Source organism: Homo sapiens, chromosome 10, assembly GCF_000001405.40.
Source record: "Homo sapiens chromosome 10, GRCh38.p14 Primary Assembly".
NCBI lineage: Eukaryota > Metazoa > Chordata > Mammalia > Primates > Hominidae > Homo > Homo sapiens.
The window spans coordinates 73,109,359-73,133,275 of record NC_000010.11 but is presented as its reverse complement, the minus strand read 5'-3'; the positions used below and the strand labels follow the sequence as shown (position 1 = coordinate 73,133,275).

Genomic DNA, 23,917 nt, shown 5'->3' with positions numbered 1-23,917 from the left:
AATAAATAAATAAAAACTAAATATACCATATCCCACTCCAATCCTTTGTCTTCCTAGTGTTCACTGAAATGAACTAAGGAAGAGGATAAGTGTTACACATTGACTAAAGTAACACATCAGATGATATTGTGCAACATTTTAACATTTTAAATAATAATTATTTTAAATATATTTTTATTGTTTGTTTTGAAGCTACATTTCTCATGTTAAAAATGGGGCCAGAATGCCGTCCCAGCTCAACTGTGAGAAAAAGGTTTCCCCCCATCGCACTTGTGGTACATTAGGTTTATCTTCATTGAGGATTAAATATTGGGTAGAGAAAGGGTGATAGGCAAAAATATAAATGAAATTTTTTTTTATTCTGGTTGCCACGGCTGACTGACTTTCAGCCAGGCTCACAAGATTTTACCTGTTTTTCTATTCTGCATCATGGACCCAGATGGGTTCTATTTATCCTTAGCACCTTCATAATTTATTGCCCATGTATATATTCTCAGGTCAGGTAGGTCCTGTACCAAAGTTTCTTTTATTTATCTGCCATTTTCAGTATTCCAGGCCTGCTCTCTTCTGCCTCAGCTTTCAGATATCCTTGGGGTTCTACAGCAAAGCTCTTTTCCCACTCACTACTGAGAAGCAAAGTTCAATGTTGCAGCTCCTGCTGTTAGCCACTCTCATCTTTTCTTTTCCAAAAACACATTAATCAAAAAACAAACAGTTACTCCATGGTAAGTTTGGGAAACTCATAACCAGGAATTCCGCACACTCCCCTTTCTATCAGTATTTTCAGATTGGGGATGTGTACACATGCGCTCACAAACACACCCACATAGAGATAGAAAAGATTGGGAGATGGTAATACACATGGACCCTGAACTGTTTTCTTCTAACTGCAAGATATGAAGAAATCTCAGGACCTCTCTTTTGTGAGTGCTTTTCCCTTCTGCATGCTGGGTTCAGCCCAGGTAAAGGCAAGCTGCCAATCTAACAAGACAATCAAGTCCCATCACATATTATCCCTCAACATTTCCTGATGAAGGCACTTTGATTTCCCCAAAGCAATGATGGTTTGCTGGCAGTGGAGAGAGCAATGACCTTTTGAGATCAAAAGGAAATTCAGTGCTTTAACTTTTCTAGTTTTAGAATCTCTTTAGTGCTATGGGACTTTGGGACTTAGTCCTATGGGACTTTGACATGTAAATAACCTTAGGGTCTCTGGAGCTTTTGTCTTTAATCACAAATAAGTCCCTAGAATCTTCTGAAGATATGATTATTTCCTCTTTTCAGCAAGACCTCTAACATTCCTCCTGCACATTGCTTCAGTTGTTACACTGACTTGAAACCTGGACTTAAATGTTTAATTGTCACCAATAGGGATCCTTTCCCCTACCCCCAAATTCTCACCTTGTAAAATTTTCTCAATTCACAGGACAGAAAAAGACATCAGAACAAAGGTGTGGAAATTTCTTTTATTTTCCCCAAATAAACTCTTCTCCCTTATGGCATCATATATGAATGATGAGAAATCCTAAATTTAGTTTATTCCATAAAGTTTAAGAAATAGGTCAGGTTTGGCATCTGTTTATCTCCACCAATCCCTTTGTTAATCAACACGTTGTGGATGTGCAAATGCCAGCAACTGTTTTATTTAGGAAAACAGGCATGGCAAAGCAATAGTCTTTTCCCTGGGTCACAAACTGAGCATGTGACAGAGCTGAAAACAGCGAAAAAGATTTACTGTCTGGAGTCCCATTGGGATTCTACTTCCTCAACAGAGCCTCAGGGCATCTGATTTATTATAAAGTACTCTGAGTCATAATGACTTAATTGTGACTTTTATTTAACTAGCATGTTCATGTAACTAGAATGCACCTGTACATGAATTTTAAAATGTCATACTGTGCTATTTTTCTTAATTCTGTAAGGGTAACAAGTAACTCAGTAATGACTTAAAACTTGCTATATATTTTCAATACTAAGATAAAAGTTTTAACCAAACTTACAACAGGCACATTTTGGCAGTTAGTGTAAACACAACATTAACAAGCCATATGCCAGAAGATGTTTGCTTCCAAGGCCTTAGAGAAAATGACTGAACAAGGGCCTACATCCAAACTAATGCTTCCCCCTTCCCCCTGATTTTTGACAGTTGACAGCTCATCAGTTTTCTTCTCACACTGGCTTTTTTGATTGCCCATTGGTAGGAATTTCTTCCATTAACACTGCTGATAGAAGTGTCTTACTGTAGGCTCACCCTTTGCTCTGCCCTTCTGAGGTCCTTCTGCAGCTTATCTTTTGTCACTTCTCCTTTGTCAACTGATCTCTAGTTTGTCCCTCAGGAATACCAAGGAGCGATCTAAGTGACTTGATCCGGGCTAAGCAGGCAGGGAAGAACAGGTCTGTTTTTCCACCCACTCCTTAATCAGTTGGTGGGAGATGGCTAACTTAGGGGGCAGCCAGAATGGGAAAGTCCCATTCTGTTGCTGAGTATAGGGGCCCTTTCTCTTCAGGGCTGTGGCTACCTCATCATGACTGAACCAGGCAGCTGTCTCTAATTCTCTCAAGTTCACCTGGATCTGAAAGACATAAGGAAGAAAAGGATGTAAGGTCAGGAGCTACAAAATTTAGAATACTATGGCCAAAGGTCAGAAAATGATTCTAGAACTAAGCAATCTTAGAAGATAATACCTGGGATCTTCAGGTTAGGTGAAAGTCAGTTCTAGATACTGCCCAGAAGCAAAAGAGGCATAATTAAGAAATGAGAGTTTTATATGTGTGTGTGTGTGTGTGTATATATATATATATTTTTTTTTTTTTAGACGGAGTCTCTCTCTGTTGCCCAGGCTGGAGTGCAGTGGCGCTATCTTGGCTCAATGCAAGCTCCACCTCCCAGGTTCACGCCATTCTCCTGCCTCAGCCTCCTGAGTAGCTGGGACTACAGGCGCCCGCCACCATGCCCGGCTAATTTTTTGTATTTTTTAGTAGAGACAGGGTTTCACCGTGTCAGCCAGGATGGTCTCGATCTCCTGATCTTGTGATCCACCCGCCTTGGCCCCCCAAAGTGCTGGGATTACAGGTGTGAGCCACTGTGCCCGGCCGAGTTAAATATATTTCTAACATAGTAAAAAAAAAAAGATAAGATACATTAAATAAATCCTGGAAGTACAAATACTAAAATGTTAAGAGTGGTTAACATTGAGAATAAATTATGAATAATACCTATTTTTCCTTGTGTCTCTATTGATTGTATAAATTTTTCAATTAAAAAAGAACATACAAATATTACTTTTTTTTTTTTTGAGATGGAGTTTTGCTCTTTTTACCCAGGCTAGAGGGCAATGGTGTGATCTTGGCTCACTGCAACCTCCCCTCCCAGGTTCAAATGATTCTCCTGCCTCAGCCTCCCGAGTAGCTGGGATTACAGGCACCCGCCACCACACCTGGCTAATTTCTTTGTATTTTTAGTAGAGACGGGGTTTCACCATGTTGGACAGGATGTTTTTGAACTCCTGACCTCAGGTGATCCACCTGCCTCGGCCTCCCAAAGTGTTGAGATTACAGGCGTGAGCCACTGTGCCCAGCCACTCTTTTTTTTTTTTTTTTAAAGGGTAAGGGTTAATGATAGTCAAAAGCATAGTCTCATCTTTGCAAGAAGCAAAGTAATGCAAACTTCATCCCAAGGAAGCTGAAATAGATTAGATATTCTATAAAAACCAAAACATACAATAGGCAAACTTTGGCAGGCAGAGACCATCAGTCAGTGATGCTAGAGAAGTGCAAGATGAGATTGGATAAAACAATGTCTAGCCGGGCATGGTGGCTCATGCCCATAATCCCAACACTTTGGGAGGCCAAGGTGGGAGGATCACCTGAGGTCAGGAGTTCGAGACCAGCCTGGCCAACATGGTGGAACCCCCATCTCTAATAAAAATACAAAAATTAGCCGGGCATGCTGGCAGGCACCTGTAATCCCAGCCACTCGGGAGGCTGAGGCAGGAGAATTGCTTGAACCTGGGAGGCGAAGGTTGCAGTGAGCTGAGATTGTGCCACTGCACTCCAGCCTGGGCGACAAGAATGAGACTCCATCTCAAAAAAAAAAAAAAAAAAAAAAGACAACGTCTTAAGTTTCTTTCAACTACAAGTACCTATAGTTTTATATTTTTAGTTCCCAGCATCCTGACTGACTTGAGCAATAAGACCAATCCTGCAGTCAGTCATTAAATGATGCCTGATTGTGCGCCTACTATATGTAAGACACTCTTAACTCCTGACAATAAAAGGTAAATTGTCTTATATAAACAGTGTTGGGAAAATTGGATATCCACATGCAAAAGAATGAAATCGGACCGTTATCTTACATCATATGCAAAAACCAACTTAAAATGGATTAAAGACTTAAATATAAAACCTGAAACAATAAAATTCTTAGGAGAAAACATAAAGGAATAAATTTCTAGACATTAGACTGGGCAGTGGTCTCTTAGATATGATACCAAAGCACAGGCAAGAAAAGCAAAGATAGACAAGTAGGGATTCTATCAAACTAAAGCTTCTGCAGAGTCAGGGAATCAATCAACAGAGTGAAGAGACAACCTGCAGAATGGGAGAAAATATTTGCAGACCCTCTATCTTATAAGGAGTTAATATCCAAAATATATAAGGAACTTCTACAACTTAATACCAAAAAATAAATAAGCCAATTTAAAAATGGGCAAAGAATCTGAATAGACATTTCTCCAAAGAAGGTATTCAAATGGCCAACAGGTATGTGAAAAGGTGCTCAACATCACTAATCATCAGGGAAATGCAAATGAAAACCTCATACCTTCTTTGATGGCTACTATTAACTCATACCTTCTTTAATGGCTACCATTAAAAAAGTACAACGGACAGCAAGTATTGGTAAGGATGTAGAGAAAAGGGAACCCATGTACACTGTTGTGGGGAATGTAAGTTGGTGCACCTACTATGGAAAAAAATATGGAGGTTCCTCAAAAAATTAAAAATAGAATTACCCTTTGATCTAGCATCCCACTTCTGGATTGAAATCTAGATCTTGAAGAGATATCTGCACTCCCATGTTCACTGCAGTATTCACAATGGATGAATGGATAAAGAAAATGTGGTATATACTATAATAGAATATTATTCAGCCTTAAAAAGGAAGGAAATCCTGCAGTTGCAACAAGATAGATAGGCCCAAAGGACATGCTAAGTGAAATAAGCCAGACACAGAAAGACAAATATTGCATGATCTCACTTATATGTGGAATCTAAAATAGTCAAACTTACAGAAGCAGAGAGTAGAATGGTGGTTGCCAGGGGCTGAAGGGAGGGGAAAATGGAAAAAGTTGCATGCCAGGGGCTGAAGGGAGGGTGGCCACTGGTCAAAGGGTACCAGGTTTCAGTCATGCAAAATAAGTTTTGAAGATCTGTACACCATAAGGTCTACAATTAATAATACTATATTATACACATAAAAATTTGCTAAGAGAATAGATCTCACATCAAGTGCTCTTACCACAAAATTAAAAAAAAAAAAAAGTGGGGTGGGAGAAAAATAAAAGGGGTGGGAGGAAACTTTTGTAAGTGATGAATAAGTTTATGGCATTGATAGTGATGACGGTTTGATAATTTCAAGGGTATATACTTCTCTGCTGAAGCAGGAGAATCACTTGAACCCAGGAGGCGGAGGTTGCAGTGAGCCGAGATCGCGCCACTGCACTCCAGGCTGGGCGACAGAGTAAGACTCCGTCTCAAAAAAAATAAAATAAAATAAATTGTCTCGTGATTGACATATATGCAAGGGAGAATGGAGATTATTTGCTTCCTTTACTAGGTTGCAAATTCCTTGAGGGCATAAATCATATTTAATTAAATTAATTAATTAATTTACTTTCAAGATGCATTCTCACCCTGTTGCCCAGGCTGGAGTGCAGTAGCGCGACCTCAGCTCACTGCAACCTCCACCTCCCAGGTTCAAGCGATTCTCCTGCCTCAGCCTCCCAAATAGCTGGGACTACAGGCACCTGCCACCATGCCGAGCCAATTTTTGTATTTTTAGTTGAAATGAGGTTTCACTATCTTGGCCAGGCTGGTCTTGAACTCCTGACCTCGTGATCCGCCCACCTCAGCCTCCCAAAGTGCTGGGATTACAGGCATGAGCCATCGCACCCGGCCTTAATTTTTGTATTTTTAGTAGAGATGGAGTTTTGCCATGTTGGCCAGGCTGGTCTTGAACTCCTGACCTCAAGTGATCCGCCCACATCAGCCTCCCAAAGTGTTGGGATTACAGGCATGAGCCACCGTGCTCAGCCCTAAATCATATTTTACACATGTTTATGTAATCTAGATGATGCTGGACTAGACAAGTGCTTAATAAGTACTTGCTGATGAGCAGGTTGGATGAAGCAAAAGAAATATCACAGTATAAGGGAAGATGAGAACTTACTTCTGTCTGCCCTGGTTTCACAGTTGCATGGCAAGCAATCATGAGTGAGCCACTAGGGAAGGGCCAATGCTGGGATGCATAGTACTGCAGGCTTTCCACCTCCAATCCCACCTCTTCTGCAACTTCTCGGCGGATGGTCTCTTCCACACTTTCACCTACAAGCACTCAGATTAATTCAGGACAGCCCTGTAGGCTAGAAGGGTGATACAGACAGCCCATTTGAGAAAGGTGCACAACACTGGCTCCAAAGTTTCAATGAAATGCTCTTGGGAGTGTCCTAAAACTCTGAGTCATTCCAACAATAAGAATCAGGTCCAGAGCTGTGTGTTGAACCACAGTGCTTAAGTCTGCTAGGTCTAAAGTAAGTGTGACAGTAGGAGGGACTACTGCACTCAGCTTTCATAAAATTCCACTTTTCACCATTTGCAAATTTGACCCCAATAGACTAGAGAAAAAAACCAACCTGTAAATAAATACTGAATTCTAGCAAATGTTACGCATGCTGAAATAGGAAGAAGTGTACTAATATCTTCAATCTATGCATCAAAAAATAAGATAGATTAATGGATAGATGGACAGCTTTGTGATAAAGTAAGTGTAGTAAAAATTCATGGAATCTAGGGGTGTGCTCAGAGCAGGGGGCCTAAAGAATGGCTCCTCTGTTTATAACACACCCAACAGGAATCTGGGGTCAATGTGATGAGAGGCACAAAGCTTGTGGCCTCCCTACAAACAAATGCCTACATGTGAAGAGGAAAAAAAATTATAGAATCTGGGTAGTGGGTGTATGGGTGTTCACTGTATAATTCTTTCAACAATCTCCTATGTTTGAAAATTTGCTTAAAAAAATAGTGTGGCTCACACCTGTAATCCCAACACTTTGGGAGGTCAAGGCAGGTAGGTCACTTGAAGCCAGGAGTTCAGGACTGGCCTAGGCAACACGGCGAGACCCTGTCTCTACAAAAAATTTTAAAAATTAGCCGGGCATGGTAGCCTGTGCCTGTAGTCCTAGCTATTCAGGAGGCTGAGGTGGGAGGATTGCTTGAACCCAGAAGGTTGAGGCTGTAATGAGCCATGATTGCACCACTGCACTCCAGCCTGAGCAACAGGGTGAGACTCCCATCTCAAAAAAAAGGAAAGGAAAAAATTTTATATATATATATATATATATATATAAAATGCCAGAAAGCAGTTTTCTTGACATGATAGAAAAGAATGTGCTTGGGAATTCAAGCTCTATAGCAACAAGACAGAGAAGATTGTATTAGTAAGATTGTATATCTTCCAGTGTCACCTGTATATCCCCTAAACTCCTCACCTATATCACAAAAACCTGCCAAGGCAGAATACATTCCCTTGGGAAAGGAGCTTTGGCGGGCAAGCAGGCATCGGGTCCCATCTGACACCAGCGTGATCGCCACAGGAGCCATCTAGGAAAGGGGAATGGAAACTGAGATGCTGGCACTTTGGGCCCTGCCAATGAGCTAAAGCAGTGTATAATTAAGGAATTGCACAGGCTTCCTTCCCCAGGACAAAGCAGCGCACAGTCTTCTTGGATTACTGTCCTCTTACAGCAATAATTACCTGTGGATAATAGATTATATTATTGGAAGGGCACACACGCTTGCTGCCAGCCACGTTCTTCTTGGTGGGCTGCCCACTTCTGCTGCAGAACTGATGAGCATCATGCCAGCGGAGAAGAGCTTGAGCCTAGGAACACAATGATGGGCCTGGTGTCATTTGGAGAGAATGCGGGGCTCATCTTTAACAGCACTGGGCCTAGTGTCTGGAACAACTCACAGAAAAATGCCAATCTCTTTACAGCTCACGTAATTTAAATGGTTACTGTTTAAATTTCAGGACAAGTAAACTAACTGAACATATTCCTCTAGCATCAGAAATCTGAATAAAAGAAAGCATATTTTTAAATGTATTATTATTTAAAACATATGAAGTATATGAGGTAATAAAATGAACACCCATGTATTCACTAACCAGCTTAAAAATAAAACATTCCCAGTACAGTTGAACACCCCAAAATGTTCTTCTCCCTGGTAAAGTTGGAATTTTTTGCAACTAAAAAAATGTTTAGAGGTTTCTTTTTAAATTAAATGCACAATCAAAATACTTTAGCAAGTGAAATCTAAAGCTGTGAGGGCAAGTCATTAAAGCAATGTAAAGTAATTTCTCTTAGGGAAAACATGATACTGTATATGTCATGCTATGTGGGTCATTAAAAATGTTTATGAGGCTGACAGATCCTATTGCCATAGATCTGCATGTCTTTAGGAGACAATGATCTTGACAGTGGTTCTGCCAAAAACAAGGGCAGAAGAAGGAAGAATAAGCAATCTCCCTACAGCACATTGTCCTGCCAGTGTTTGTAGAAAGGACTATAATCTGCAAAAGAAGAAATCAAACGTCACTCTAGCCTTGTGTGTACACATGGATTTGCCCACACTTACTGCTCTACTAAATTTCCTACAGAATGAGAAATCAGAATCTACCGTGGACAGCAAGGAGGCATCCCTTGCATTGAGTTGAAAGAGTGCCTTTCTCAGCTCAATGAAAGACCCCTTGAGCTCTGTCTCCATTTCAGGTTTGTGTAAGGAGGCTAGAAAATTAGAAAAGATAATGAAATTAAACAATGACAAACTTTGCCTCAGGGCCTCTCTCCAGTCTATCCTGTTAAAATAGTGTTTCCCAAACTTGCCTCGTAAGATTCAGCTAGGTGTGGGGGGCGTGTGCCTGTAGTCCCAGCTACTCAGGAGACTGAGGCAGGAGGATGGCTTGAGGCCATTAGGAGTTCCAGGCTACATACAGTGCGCTATGATCTTACCTGTGAATAGCCACTGCACTCCAGTGAGACCCCATCTCTAAAATTTAAAAAAGGCCAGGTACGGCACTTTGGGAGGCCGAGGCGGGTGAATCACTTGAGGTCAGGAGTTCGAGACCAGCCTGGCCAACATGGTGAAACCCTGTCTGTATTAAAAACACAAAAATTAGCTGGGCTTGGTGGTGGGCGCCTGTAATCCCAGCTACTCAGGAGGCTGAGGCAGGAGAATCGCCTGAACCCAGGAGGCAGAGGTTGCAGTGAACCGATCGCACCATTGCACTCCAGCCTGGGTGACAGCAAAACTCCATCTCAAAATAAATAAATATATACATAAAATTTTTTTAAAAAGCAAGATTCTCAAGCCCCTACCTGGAGATTCTAAAGCAGCTGGCATGGAGTGAGGCCCAGCAATCTCTATTTTTGTTTTAACAAGCACCAGGTGATTCTTACATTCAGGCCAGTTTGGGAAACATTAGCACATAGTATTTCTCAAGATCTTCTTCGGGGCAAGAACATTTGCATTAGCTTATCCGTGGAAAAGAGATGAAGTGGGACCTCATGGCTCCTATGTGAACCTCATCCCAGCATCACTACATTTACACCTAGACCATTAAAGACAGAAGGAAAGCCTGACAGGAGCCATGAGCCAATAGCAAAGTGGTTCCCAATGGCAGGTCTGTGGACCCAGAGCTATATGGAAACATTTTTATTCACCTGTATTCAAAAAAGAAATTAGAATGATGTTATAAGTTTTTTAACATTTCTTATGAAATACTGAAATATACAAAATGTGACCGGGCTTGGTGGCTCATGCCTGTAATCCCAGCACTTTGGGAGGCTGAGGCAGGCGGATCACCTGAGGTCAGGAGTTCGAGACCAGCCTGACCAACATGGAGAAACCCCGTCTCTACTAAAAATACAAAACTAGCCGGGCATGGTGGCACGTGCCTGTAATCCCAGCTAATAGGGAGGCTGAGGCAGGAGAATCGCTTGAACCTGGGAGGCGAAGGTTGTGGCGAGCCGAGATCGCGCCATTGCACTCCAGCCTGGGCAACAAGAGTGAAACTCTGCCTCAAAAAAAAAAAAAAAAAGAAATATACAAAATGTATAGGCCAGGTGTGGTGGCTCATACCTATAATCTTAGCACTTTGGGAGGCCAAGGAGGGAGGATTGCTTGTGCCCAGGAGTTTGAGACCAGCCTGGGCAACATAAGGAGACCCCCATCTCTATTAAAAAAAAAAAAAAATTAAAAATTAGCTGGGCATGGTAGTACATGCCCATGGTCCCAGCTACTCAGGAGGCTGAGGTGGGAGGGTCACTTGAGCCCAGGAGGTCAAGGCTGCAGTGAGCTGTGATTGTACCACTGCACTCCAGCCTGGGTGACAGCAAGACATTGTCTCAATAAAATAAGATAAAATAAATAAATAAAATGTATAATGGTACAGAGACTAATACCATAAATATTCATGTACCCATCACCTAACTTAGAAGGCATTAAAATGTCCTTTATTGTCATTTAAATGATGATGATAGCAGATGACACTTTTTAATGTCCTTTTTTAAAAAATAGAAAGTTGATAACCTTTTGTATTCCCCAAATTTTCCTTTAAATTTTACCATTATGTGAAATCCCAAATTCTGAAGACCACTGGGAAGTACCCGTTAGGAATAATGTCATGTACCACTTATGGAAAAGGAGCTATCCAGACCTAGATCCAGAGCAAACCATGCTTCCTGCTGCTCAGAGCATCCAATCAGCACAGAATCTTCTATTCTTTGTGCATCCTGTCCAAATTTACCCAGGAGCCTTTCCAACTCTAAGAAACAGAAAGGGGAAGGGAGAAAAGCAAAACACAAGGGTTTCTATTAAATCACTACAGCCATATTAGACTCACAGAAAATCATCTACTTCAGCTTAAAGTGGGTATACTTGGCTTCCAACTGCAGCTAATTAGCTATGTAACCTTGGTCTAACCATTTAACCTCTCCAGGCCTGTTTTCTCATTAGCAGTCTGAGGACTTTAGACCAAAGAAGGAATTCTTGTATAACATTGTATTACTCTATGACTGTATCATGAAAGGAAAATATCCCCTAGTTAGTAAGATGCATGATAGTTAACTTATTAAGTCATTGAAAAAAAAATAAGTATCACACTTAAAATGGTACAGACCAAGGCTGGGGGGCAGGGAGGATCACTTGAGGCCAGGAGTTTGGGACCAGCCTGGGCAACACAGCAAAGACCCTGTCTCTACAAAAAATAAAATCAGCTGGGTGCAGTGAAGTGCACACCTGTAGTCCCAAAAACTTGGGAGGCAGAGATGGGAGGATCTCTTGAGCCAAGGAGTTCAAGGCTGCAGGTAAAGACCAATCCAGTTCTATAATTAACCTCCAGAATGTGCTACTTTTGTGGACGAGAGTAAAATACTCATCTGAGATGCCAATCTCTAAGAGATGAGTGATGTGTAGGGAGAAATCCTATACACTTGTTCATGAAGGACTCATATTTATTTGTTCATAATACAACATAACACACACAAAAACCGTAATACAACATAAACATTGCTAAATCTCTAAATAATGTTTAGTGCCTTCTGATGGAGTCCTCAGATTCTTCTGCAGTGCTAGAAACTACTTATCCAAGTACTCCAACTTCTGACCTATGGGAGAAATTCACTGGCAATACGGAAGTTAGTATATAGTGACTCATATAAAACTGAAAGTTCACATTTTGTTTTCTGTCTTTGAGACACCACAAGGCTCGACTAATTTTTTGTTCTTGGGTAGAGACGGGGTCTCACTATGTTGCCCAGGCTGGTTTTGAACTCCTGGGCTCAAGCAATCCACCCACCTCAGCCTCCCAAAGTGCTGGGATTACAGGCATGAGCCACCCAACCCAGCCAAAGTTTGCATTTTGAATGACAAACCCCAATGGCTTAGATATCTTTAGTTAAATATGCTAAAAGGGTTCTAAAAGCAAATTCATTTTAATTCACTTTTAATCTTGACCCTTCTAGTAAAAATGAAGTTATGATGGAACTTTTTTTTTTTTTTTTGAGATGGAGTCTCGCTCTGTCACCCACACTGGGGTGCAGTGCCGTGATCTCGGCTCACTGCAAGCTCCGCCTCCCGGGTTGACGCCATTCTCCTACCTCAGCCTCCCGAGTAGCTGGGACTACAGGCACCCGCCACCACGCCCGGCTAATTTTTTTGTATTTTTAGTAGAGACGGGTTTCACCGTGTTAGCCAGGTTGGTCTTGATCTCTTGACCTCGTGATCTGCCCTCCTCGGCCTCCCAAAGTGCTGGGATTACAGGCGTGAGCCACCGCGCCTGGCCATGATGGAACTCTGAATTAGCATAACTGTGTACCTCTGTGGAGGCTGGAATTCACTGCTCTAAGGCAAAGAATGGCAAACTTTTTCTGGAAAGAGATACTAAATATTTTAGGCTTTGTGAGTCATACAGTCTCTGTCACAACTCTGCATTGTAGTGCAAAAGTAGCCATAGACAATATGTCAATGAATGAGTACGTCTATGTTCCAATAAAAATTAATTTACAAAACAGGTAGCAGATACAATTTGGACAGCAGTTTTACCAACCCCTGGTTTAAGGCATTAGTGGTTCATTTCATCACCAAATAATATTTGACTGGACAACTAGAGTTCATACAATAAATTATTAGTTGGCAGAAGCAGTTATACAAGCATGAGACTCAAAAGCTTTCTGAAAAATCTAGACTCCAAAGTTCAAGGATCTTTCTTAGAATTCATTATGGGCTGAATTCTGCGTAGTGGCCACAGGCTGGTCAACGCCACTGGTCCACTCTGGACTTACCTAACAGGCTGTGCCGGGGGGCCAGGTATTGATGTGCTGAAGTCTGAAGCAGAGGAGCCAGACTATGAAAGAGGTAAAACGCTCCTGTTTGCTGGGCTTTTTTACATGCATCATCATCTTCCTTCAGTTCAAATAAATACCTGTATTTGGGAAATAATCAAACCATTACAAAACCACCCTTAGTTACCTGTATAGCATTCATCTTTGAGAATGCTGTCGCTGCATCCCTCTCTTACCATGGTTATTTCCCTTTATTTATTTACAACCTAATTTGCTCCAAAAAGGGTTTGAGGTGGCTATAGATAATCATTCATTCCCTCCTTTGTCTTACTGTGTACCTCACCCATACTTCTGTGGTTGCACTATTGGTTTATTTGTTCATTTGTCTGTCTCCTCTGAGAGACTATGATCTCCTTAAGGGGAAGGTATGCTTTACTCAGCTCTGTATCTCTGTAGTTAGCATATTGAATGGCTCGATTCAATAAATATTTATTGAATTGAACTTCAAGGGTAATAAATATTTACTGAATTGAACTTCAAGTTACTCTGCCAATATTACACTGTGAGGCAAGAATTTACATGCAGTGGAGTGAAAGGAAAACAAGTACAGTGATAAAACATCAACCACAAAATACCTAGAGATGGGAACAGACTTTTTCACAGCAGACAAAGAGTAAACACTGTATCTTCAGTGACCCTCATTCAATCTAGGGAAGATAAAGAACAAATTTTACCTTCAATGTACCCTTACTTCAGACATCTAGATCCCAAAGTAGATACCATTAACTCCTTATCTCTAGCAAAGGGAGCACCTGGCCGGGCGTGGTAGCTCACGCCTGTAATCCCAGCACTTTGGGAGGCTGAGGCAGGTGGATCACGAGGTCAGGAGTTCGAGACCAGCCTGGCCAATATGGTGAAACCCTGTCTCTACTAAAAATACAAAAATTAGCTGGGCATGGTGGCACGCACCTGTAGTCCCAGCTACTCAGGAGGCTGAGGCCGAAGAATCGCTTGAACCTGGGAGGCGAAGGTTGCAGTAAGCAGAGATCACGCCACTGCACTCCAGCCTGGATGACAGAGCGAGACTCCATCTCAAAAAAAAAGAAAACAAAGGGAGCATTGATGAAACCTATACTTAACCTATTTAATAAGGATAGTATTTTCATTTTCCTTCTTTTTTTGTTTTGAGACAGAGTCTCACTCTGTCACCCAGGCTGGAGTGCAGTGGCACGATCTCAGCTGACTGCAGCTTCTGCCTCCCAGGTTCAGGCAATTCTCGTGCCTCAGCCTCCCGAGTACCTGGGATTACAGGCATGCCCCACCATGCCCAGCTAATTTCTGTATTTTAGTAGAGACGGGGTTTCATCATGTTGGCCAGGCTGGTTTCGAACTCCTGACCTCAAGTGATCTGCCCTCGGCCTCCCAAAGTGCTGGGATTACAGGTGTGTGCCACCACACCCAGCCATAGTATTTTCAGTAGCCAAAATGAAAATGTGGAAAAAGGGAACATCCTCCTATTCTTGGTTTCTCAAAAACAGGCAATAGTAATGGGGTAAGTACCAGGCTTTTCCAGTACCTTCATTAAGGGTGGGCTGAGTCTCTCCCTTCAAATCCTTGTGATCAGCAGGGACAGAATGCAGACTCCCCTGGGGCCTTGGGATTAGCCATTTTTGCCTGTCAAAAGCCCTAAAACAGACGCTCAGGTAAAAACTGGCTTCTTTTGTCAAGTGGGAAAAATAGTTTGCAGATATTTCCTGTGGGATCTGAGAACTCATGTAATACCAGTAGGCAGAGTTTGCTCAACATGAAAATAAAAAGCAAAAAGACAAATGCACCCCAGTGCTATCTTTCAGAACCTACTCTTGACTGTGATAAAAGGGGTTACGATGAGCTCTTTATAAATAGAAGACAAAAGAAACCTGATCTTTTAAGAATTGTGATATTTTTAAACTTATGAGTCACTGTAGCCTCCTGGGGCAAAGACTCAATGCATGTCAAAGGAGAGACGTGTCACTCAGAAGTTACCAAATATAAACAATAGAACAAACACTGCTGCCTTCGTAAAAGAACAGAAAGAGTGGTACAACCTGTACTTGCCCTAATGACCCTAAAAAGCAAAACACCTACAAAAACACCCAGGTTAAGGTCTTAGACCCAGGGCCTCACTGGAACTGGAATTGAGATCCAAAAGTTCCTTACACTCCTCTGGATTGGGAACTCTTATTTTTAAAAATGTATTTTCCCTTTTCAGTTATAATAGCATAGAAATTGCTATGATTATCAAAGTTGAAAATATTTAGATTATTTTAAAACAAACTTTTTCCTTATTTTAACAGTAAAAAATAGTCAATCTTTAATAATCAGAATATACAATTGTCAATTTTTTGAAAAGAAAATCATCAAAATCCCACCACTCAGGGATAATCACTGTTTACACTTTGGAATTCTCTAAGCGATTACTATTATACATCAATACATATATAAGTATATTTAGAATCCATCAAACCTACTAATTTGTAGCCTTTTTTCTTAAACATATGTAAACATTTTCACATCATATTCTTTATTGATAGACTTTTATTCTTTTTTTTTTTTTTTTTGAGACTGAGTTTCACTCTTGTTTTCCAGGCTGGAGTGCAGTGGCACGATCTTGGCTCACTGTAACCTCTGCCTCCCGGGTCCAAGTGATTCTCTTGCCTCAGCCTCCCAAGTAGCTGGGATTACAGGTGCCCGCCACCACACCTGGCTAATTTTTGTATTTTTAATAGAGATGGGGTTTTGCCATGTTGGCCAGGCTGGTCTCGAACTCCTGACCTCAGGTGATCCACCCGTCTCAGCCTCCCAAAGTGCTGGGATTACAGGTGTGAGCTACCGTGCCTGACCTCATTATTTTTATTCATTCTTAAATAGATTTATTTAATCACTTTAACATACTTAAATTTTAGACTCTATTTAATAATTATGTTAATATTCTTGGCCAGGCGTGGTGGCGTACTCCTGTAATCCCAGCACTTTGGGAGGTCGAGGTGGGTGGATCACAAGGTCAAGAGATCCAGACCATCCTGGCCAACATGGTGAAACCCCATATCAACTAAAAATACAAAAATTAGCTGGGCGTGGTGGCGTGTGCCTTAGTCCCAGCTACTCAGGAGGCTGAGGCAGGAGAATCACTTGAACCCATGAGGTGGAGGTTGCAGTGAGCTGAGATCACACCACTGCAGTCCAGCCTGGCAACAGAGCAAGACTCCATCTCAAAAAAAAAAAAAAAAAAAAAAAAAAAATTCTTGTAGTCTGTTAAAGGAGTACACGCAATCTAAATGTCCAACAATATCTGAAACAAGTATCACAATTTTGTTGTTTGTTCACTCTTGTTCATGTAGGATTATATGCTTATGTGCTTCTAATTTTTTTTCTTTGAGACAGGGTCTCACTCTATCATGCAGGCTAGAGTGCAATGACACGATCTCGGCTTATTGCAACTTCCACCTCCCAGGTTCAAGCGACTCTCCCACCTCAGCCTCCTGAGTAGCTGTGACTACAGGTGCACGCCACCATTCCTGGCTAATTTTTGTATTTTTAGTAGAGACGGCTTCACCATGCCGGCCAAGCTGGTCTCGAACTCCTGACCTCGAGTGATCTGCCCGCCTTGGCTTCCCAAAGTGCTGGGATTACAGGCATGAGCCACTGCACCCAGCCTTTATATGCCTCTAAATTTTGGAGCTTGATAGGGCTTTATATATTGGAATCACTGGTTGTGAGTGTGTACTTCCTAAGGAGTTTTATATTTGTATTCACATGGTGCCCCAGGGGTATTTTCAGTCCAAGATTACTACTTAAATTCATTTCTTAGGCTGGGCATGGTGGCTCATGCCTATAATCCCAGCACTTTGGGAGGTAAAGGCAGGAGGATTGCTTGAGCCCAGGAGTTTGAGACCAGCCTGGGCAACATAGCAAGACCCTACCTTACAAACAATAAAAAAAAATTAGCCAGGCATGGTGGTGTACAAGTAGCTACGCATGTGATCCTAGCTACTTGGTGGGAGAATTGATTCAGCCTGGGAGGTTGAGGCTGCAGTGAGCTATGATCATAGCACTGCACTCCAGCCTGTGTGACAGAGCAAGATCCTGTCTCAAAAAGAAAAAAAAGAAAAAAAAATTATTTCTTAGGTTAAGGGTTCTAGAACCACACCACATAGATGGTATAAATTTAACCCCCAAAACTGTATGAAAGCAGGCTAGTGATTTCAAATTCACAGATTTCTAATTTCCCTAGGCTAAGACAAAAAAGTCTTTATCATCTTCATGTGCTATTGTAGATTTTGTTTTCCTACTCTACCTTTCACTGAAGTTTAGTTCTTGGGGGAAGGGGGTGGGGTTATCTACTTTATTTATAGGAAACTTCATGAAATATTATTCAATACAGTTTTTTTCATCTGAAGTGACAGGAATAGAACAATATAATTTTAACATGTTTATTATTCTATTATAGTACCTTAATTTACTTAATTTCTCCCTTACTGTTCATTCATTCAACAGTACTTTAGTGCCTACCATGTGCCAGGCACTGTTTTATGAAGTAGGGGTACCACAGTGGAAAGACAAAGTCTGATCTTAATAGAACTTATATTCAAGTGTGTGAGATATTTTAGATATTATTGGATATTTAGTTTGTTTAAAATTTTTCGGCCAGGTTTGGTGACTTACGCCTGTAATCCCAACACTTTGGGAGGTCAAGGCAGGTGGATTGCCAGAGCTCAGTTCAGACCAGCATGGACAACATGGCAAAACCCTGTCTCTACACAAAAATATAAAAATTAGCCAGGCATGGTGGCATATGCCTGTAGTCCCAGCTACTTGGGGGTTTGAGGTGGGAGGATCGCTTGACCCCAGGAGATCAAGGCTTCAGTGAGCCAAGATTGTACCACTGCACTTCAGCCTGAGTGACAGAGTGAGACTCCATCTCTAAAAAAGTAAAAATATATATTTTTTGATGTTTACTGGTTTATTATATAGGATATTACGAAGGATACAAATGAAGAGATGCATTTAGGTCAGGTATGTGGGGGGAGGGTGCAGAGCTTCCATGACTCCCTGGGTGCACCACCCTCCAGGAACTTCCATGTGTTCAGCTATCCAGAGGCTCTCTGAACCCTGTCCTTTTGGGTTTTTATGGTGGCTTCATTACATAGGCATGATTGACAACCATGTAGAAATCTGATTGGACAAAATGGTTATGATTTCATAATAATAGACTGACCGGAAACCCAGCAATGCCTGTCTGTTCAGGTTCTCCTTGGCCTCTCTGTGCAGCCTTCCTTCCTCCGGAGTATGGGGCACAACCCTCTCTGGAATGAGGGTCTTTGGACCCGCAATCAGATTAGAGTCCTGCCATGGGCAGGTAAAAGGAGGACAGGAGAAGGTAAAAGAGATTTTGTTTCCTGAGGCCTGCCCCTGAGGTCTAAAGTGCCCCACATTATAACAAAAGACTGTAATAAGGGCCATAGGAGTTATGAGCCAGAAACCATGGATGAATATATATATATATGAATATATATATATACACACACACACATATACACACACACAAATATAGTAATATATAATGTATATATAATAATCATAAACCTAAATATATATATAAAATCATAATATCACAATAGTTTAATGGGCCAAACAGAATAATCAAAGCTCAGGTTGGCTAAAACTCACCGTGTCTTAGTAACATAGGTTGACAGCAGCCTATAGCACCAAAAAAATTTTCTCCTGCAAGCTATTCCACAATACAGGGACATTGTCAGGTCCTTAAAAAAAAAAAAAAGGAGTTTTAAAAAAAGTCATAATATGAAATTTAAAGTAATGAATTGCCAAGAGGGTTATACTTTAAGCCAGAATGGGATCACTCTGTAATATTAAGGAAAGACAAACTCAATAGGAGTCAGGTGATCTTGTTTCTAAATTGCATTTCTACCCCTAAGTAGCTATGGGATCTCAACATTTCAGTACTTCTTTCATGATCTAGAAAACTGAAACCTGTTCTACCCACTTAGAGTAAGAATGAAGTAGAAGGAATCCTGTAGATAAGAATATATAAAGTCACAACATTAGGAAATTTTTTCAGAAGGCAGCTATGCAAATTCACATGGATCCAAGATATTTTCTATTTTTTTGTTGCTCATTGGGAAAGAAAAAAAATCTGTAACTAAATAATCCATTCTGGCCAAGATGGTCCCTTTAAATTGTATATCAGTATTTTATTCCCCATGAAAAGTACCTCTCACATTGGCAGTAAAAAAAGTCAAGAATTCATTACAGTTAAATAACCAACCACCCTTTTCACTGTGTCTGAGGAAAGCCAGCTTTGACACTAAATGACCGAGGAACATCTAAAATTTAGTCCTACTTCTTGGTTGCATAATTATGAATCACTGATGATGAATTCTTGGACAGTTTTGGCTACAATCTATGTCCTAGCCATGGGTAAAATATATTTAGCAAATGACATTCAACAAAGTATTTATTGAGTACTGACTTTATTCAGGGTCCCTTAAAGAACACAAAAATGTAAAAGATGAAAATCCCTGCCCTCAAGGAACTCTAGCAGGAGAGAGAAAACAAATATATAGCCAGCTTTCACAGAAGGCAGTATGCAATATGTGGGTTGCAAAGCACTCTAGGAGATTATTAAAAGTATTATTCCTACTTTAATAACCCCAAAACTAGTGTGATATACTATAAAAAATGTATTTAAAGTCATTATTTCTGGCTCATACACCACTCAGAATGTAAACTGGTATGATATTTTTACAGGTTGATTTGGAAATATCTATTAAAGTGTCAAATAATAAGCCTCTCTTTTTCCTCAGCAATTCCATGTTTAGGAATTTACCCTAGGAAGGAAAGGATATGTACAAGAACGTTAACTGAAAATTATGATAAAATGGATTAATACGCGACTTAAGAACAAATAGAAGGGCTGGGTGCGGTGGCTCACGCCTGTAATCCCAGCACTTTGGGAGGCCGAGGCGGGCGGATCACCCGAGGTCAGGAGTTCGAGACCAGCCTCACCAACATGGAGAAACCCCATCTCTACTAAAAATACAAAATTAGCTGGGCGTGGTGGCACACGCTTGTAATCCTGCCTACTTGGGAGGCTGAGGCAGGAGAATCGCTTGAACCTAGGAGGCAGAGGTTGCAGTGAGCAGAGATCGTGCCATTGCACTCCAGCCTGGGCAACAAGAGCAAAACGTCGTCTTAAAAAAAAGAAAAAGAACAAATAGAAAATAATATAACAGTGAAAAAAATATATATATATAGTAACAGGGAGAGAGACTTAGAACACATTATTAAGTAAACAAAAAAAGCAAGGAGGAATTGGAGGTGATACTAGTCAAAGTGTACAAAGTTTCAGTTAGGATGAATAAATTCTGGATATCTATTGTGTTGTATGGTAACTATAGTTCATAATATATTATATACTTGGAAATTACTAAGAAAGTAGATATTAAATATTCTCAACACACACAAAAAATGTGAGGTGATGAATATATTAATTTGCTAGATTTAATCATTTCACAATGTATACCTGTATCAAAACATCACATTGTAAACTATAAATATATACTTTTTTTGTCAAAAAGTATATATTATACTTTAATACCTTAATATTATACCTTAATAAAGCTGGAGAAAAAAACAGGTAACAGTTGGTTAACATGACCTAATTATTTATAAAAAAAAGGACACAGACATACCAATATACATAAATTATATGTATTTAATTATATTTTTCTTTCTATTTTTTTTTGAGACGGAGTTTCGCTCTTGTTGCCCGGGCTGGAGTGCAATGGCGCAATCTCGGCTCACCGCAACCTCCACCTCCCGGGTTCAAGCGATTCTCCTGCCTCAGCCTCTCGAGTAGTTGGGATTACAGGCATACGCCACCACGCCTAGCTAATTTTGTATTTTTTTTAGTAGAGATGGGGTTTCTCCATGTTGGTCAGGCTGGTCTCGAACTCCTGTTCTCAGGTGATCTGCCTGCCTGGGTCTCCCAAAGTGCTGGGATTACAGGCAAGAGCCACTGCCCCCGGCCTTATTTATATTTTTCAAATGACTAGAAGTATACATACCAAACTATTAAAGAGTGACTAATTTGGGGGAGTGGGATGAAGACAAATATTGAAAAAGGTGCCTGTAATTTTTATTTTGTTCATTTTTCTGTACTGAAAAAAAAATTAGCCATGTGTACTTATTCCTTTTAAGACAAAAGAAAAGCCTAATAAAATAGTAGTTCCTGAGACTAACTGGTTAATGAGGCTACCTCCATGCCACTGTTCCCCAAAACACCTCACCATATTCCATGAGCCAAAGGGAATTCATTTGGTGAGTTTCTTGGACCTTGGGAACTGCTGCCTGATGTTTTGCCTAGTTTCTGCTACTAAATTAACCTTAGCCAGTTGTAGATTATCATGGCTGCTGACTCATGAGCTGATGGTCACAGAGCTATTTATGTTTTTAAAAGTACAATGTTTGATAGAGATGAAAGGTAATAGCAGTCTTACCCAACTACTAAATGATGAGGCAAGGTGCTTTAACATTAAGAGTTTCTTTGAACTCCCCAACACAAATGATTCACACGTTTCTTATCCTGTTCATCTTTCCAGAAGAAAGATTATAAAGTACTACAGCGTGACAAAAAAGCCCATCTTGTAGTGAGCCGAGATCGCGCCACTGCACTCCAGCCTGGGCGACAGAGCGAGACTCCGTCTCAAAACAAAAAAACAAAACAAAACAAGACAAAACAAAAAAAGCCCATCTTGAATCTAGTGGTTACTTCCACCGTGAAGAGGCCAGGTTCCCTAGTATTTAAGAGACCTTTTTTTAGGCCGGGCGCGGTGGCTCACGTCTGTAATCCCAGCACTTTGGGAGGCCGAGGTGGGCGGATCACGAGGTCAGGAGATCGAGACCATCCTGGCTAACACGGTGAAACCCCGTCTCTGTTAAAAATACAAAAAAAAGTGGCTGGGCGTGGTGGCGGGCGCCTGTAGTCCCAGCTACTAGGGAGTATGAGGCAGGAGAATGGCATGAACCCAGGAGGCGGAGCTTGCAGTGAGTGGAGATCGTGTCACTGCACTCCAGCCTGGGCGACCAAGTGATACTTCGCCTGTGTTTAGAGTCCGTTTCTCCACGACTGTGGACCTCCATGGGACAGGGAAATATGGAAAACTGAGGAACCACGGGAATACAGCTTTGAAGGTCTCACTGACCTGCTTTATAGTTTGCTTTCTAAAAAATAATTTTCCCTCCTTTAAAAAAAAATAAAAATTAAGGCACAATGTGAGAGGTTGGCAAGTTCCATTTTTAAATGACTCTCCAAAAAAGTATCAGAAAATGATGAGCTGTGGTTACTGATGTAGCTCCACAGTTATGAGGCAAAACTATGGTTATATCCCTGGTTTCTGCAAAAAGGAAGAGATTAAGCTAAAATGTTAAAATGCTGTGACCACGACCTTTTTTCAAGTTCTGATCATGCCTCCCTGTGAAGTCCTTCCTGCACTTAGAAGCTGAGCAGGTTTCTGTTTCACTGTACTCACTCTGAATTCTTTTCGGGGCACCTTCCTAGTCCTCAGGAATCAGCACAAAAGAGGAAACTCCAAATGTTCACGTTCAACGGCTTCCGTTCCCTGGAGGGACCATTGCTGCTTCTGCCACACTTCCCAGAATCCTCCTAGAGATGCACTCTGGGAATTGTAGTTCAGTTCCCAGGCATGCTGCTGTGTTCTCCAGCTGCAAGTTAACCATGATTGTCAAAAGCATGAACATCTAAGATCTTATTACCAAGAGAACTACTGTATCCTTGGAGAAAGTAGGTTAGTATTAGATCCATTTTTTAATTAAAAAAAGATAAAGTCATTAAGTCCACCCTCATACACAGAAGGCATATATTATGAGGCTGGGGAGAGGATGAAGCAGGGGTGGGAATCAAATACCTTTTAACCTTAGTATATCTCTAGTTCTCTCTCTGCACACTTTAGAACTAGCTCTAAAATTTCATGAAGTTCTTCCAATTTAAAAGGATGGGACTCTGTATAGGTATGTATAGATATGTTTGAACTTATGGTAGGATTCATTTCTTGATCAGAGGAAGCGCATTCCATTTGACTGGAAGTAGTCTCCTAGAAGTGTGTCCGGAGTTGGTTCCTTCCAGTGGGTTCTTGGTCTTGCTGACTTCAAGAATGAAGCCGTGGAGCTTTCGGTGAGTGTTATAGCTCTTAAAGGTGGCACGAACCCAAAGAGTGAGCAGCAGCAAGATTTATTGTGAAGAGCGAGAGAACAAAGCTTCCACAGCGTGGAAGGGGACCCGAGTAGGTTGCCGCTGCTGTTGGGGGTGCCAGCTTTTATTCCCTTATTTGTCCCTGCCCACATCCTGCTGAATGGTCCATTTTACAGAGCACTGATTGGTCCATTTTATGGAGTGCTGATTGGTCCATTTGACAGAGTGCTGATTTGTGCATTTACAATCCTTTAGCTAGACACAGAGTGCTGATTGGTGCGTTTTTACAGAGTGCTGATTGGTGCGTTTACAATCCTTTAGCTAGACACAGTGCTGATTGGTGCATTTACAATCCTTTAGCTAGACACAGAGTGCTGATTGGTGTGTTTACAATCCTTTAGCTAGACACAGAGCACTGATTGGTGCATTTTTACAGAGTGCTGATTGGTGTGTTTACAATCCTTTAGCTGGAAACAGAGTGCTGATTGGTGCGTTTACAATCCTTTACCTAGACACAGAGCGCTGATTG

General features: G+C 41.1%; 1 protein-coding gene and 1 non-coding gene across 11 annotated transcripts; one reads left to right on the top strand and one right to left on the bottom strand.

Moving 5' to 3' along the window:
• Positions 1 to 1,452: 1,452 nt before the first annotated feature.
• On the bottom strand, positions 1,453 to 22,821 carry NUDT13 (nudix hydrolase 13). 10 transcript variants are annotated; one of them, NM_001283016.2, is made up of 10 exons: positions 22,709 to 22,821; positions 18,828 to 18,919; positions 13,754 to 13,825; positions 13,119 to 13,258; positions 10,967 to 11,101; positions 8,956 to 9,062; positions 8,033 to 8,158; positions 7,767 to 7,878; positions 6,449 to 6,603; positions 1,453 to 2,573 (listed from the first exon to the last, which is right to left on the bottom strand). In NM_001283016.2, exons 6-10 carry the CDS (start codon positions 9,040 to 9,042, stop codon positions 2,373 to 2,375), a joined length of 681 nt encoding a protein of 226 aa, NP_001269945.1. In that variant the 5' UTR covers positions 9,043 to 9,062; positions 10,967 to 11,101; positions 13,119 to 13,258; positions 13,754 to 13,825; positions 18,828 to 18,919; positions 22,709 to 22,821; the 3' UTR covers positions 1,453 to 2,372. The 10 variants fall into 10 exon arrangements, 9 of the variants coding, with proteins under 9 accessions (NP_001269945.1, NP_001269946.1, NP_056985.3 ...); NR_104264.2 differs by lacking the exon at positions 13,754 to 13,825 and having other exon boundaries at positions 6,449 to 6,641; NM_001283017.2 differs by lacking the exon at positions 8,956 to 9,062.
• Positions 7,069 to 7,196, top strand: SNORA11F (small nucleolar RNA, H/ACA box 11F). Its single transcript, NR_145776.1, has one exon. It is a non-coding gene; the product is annotated as a small nucleolar RNA, H/ACA box 11F (small nucleolar RNA).
• Positions 22,822 to 23,917: the final 1,096 nt, after the last annotated feature.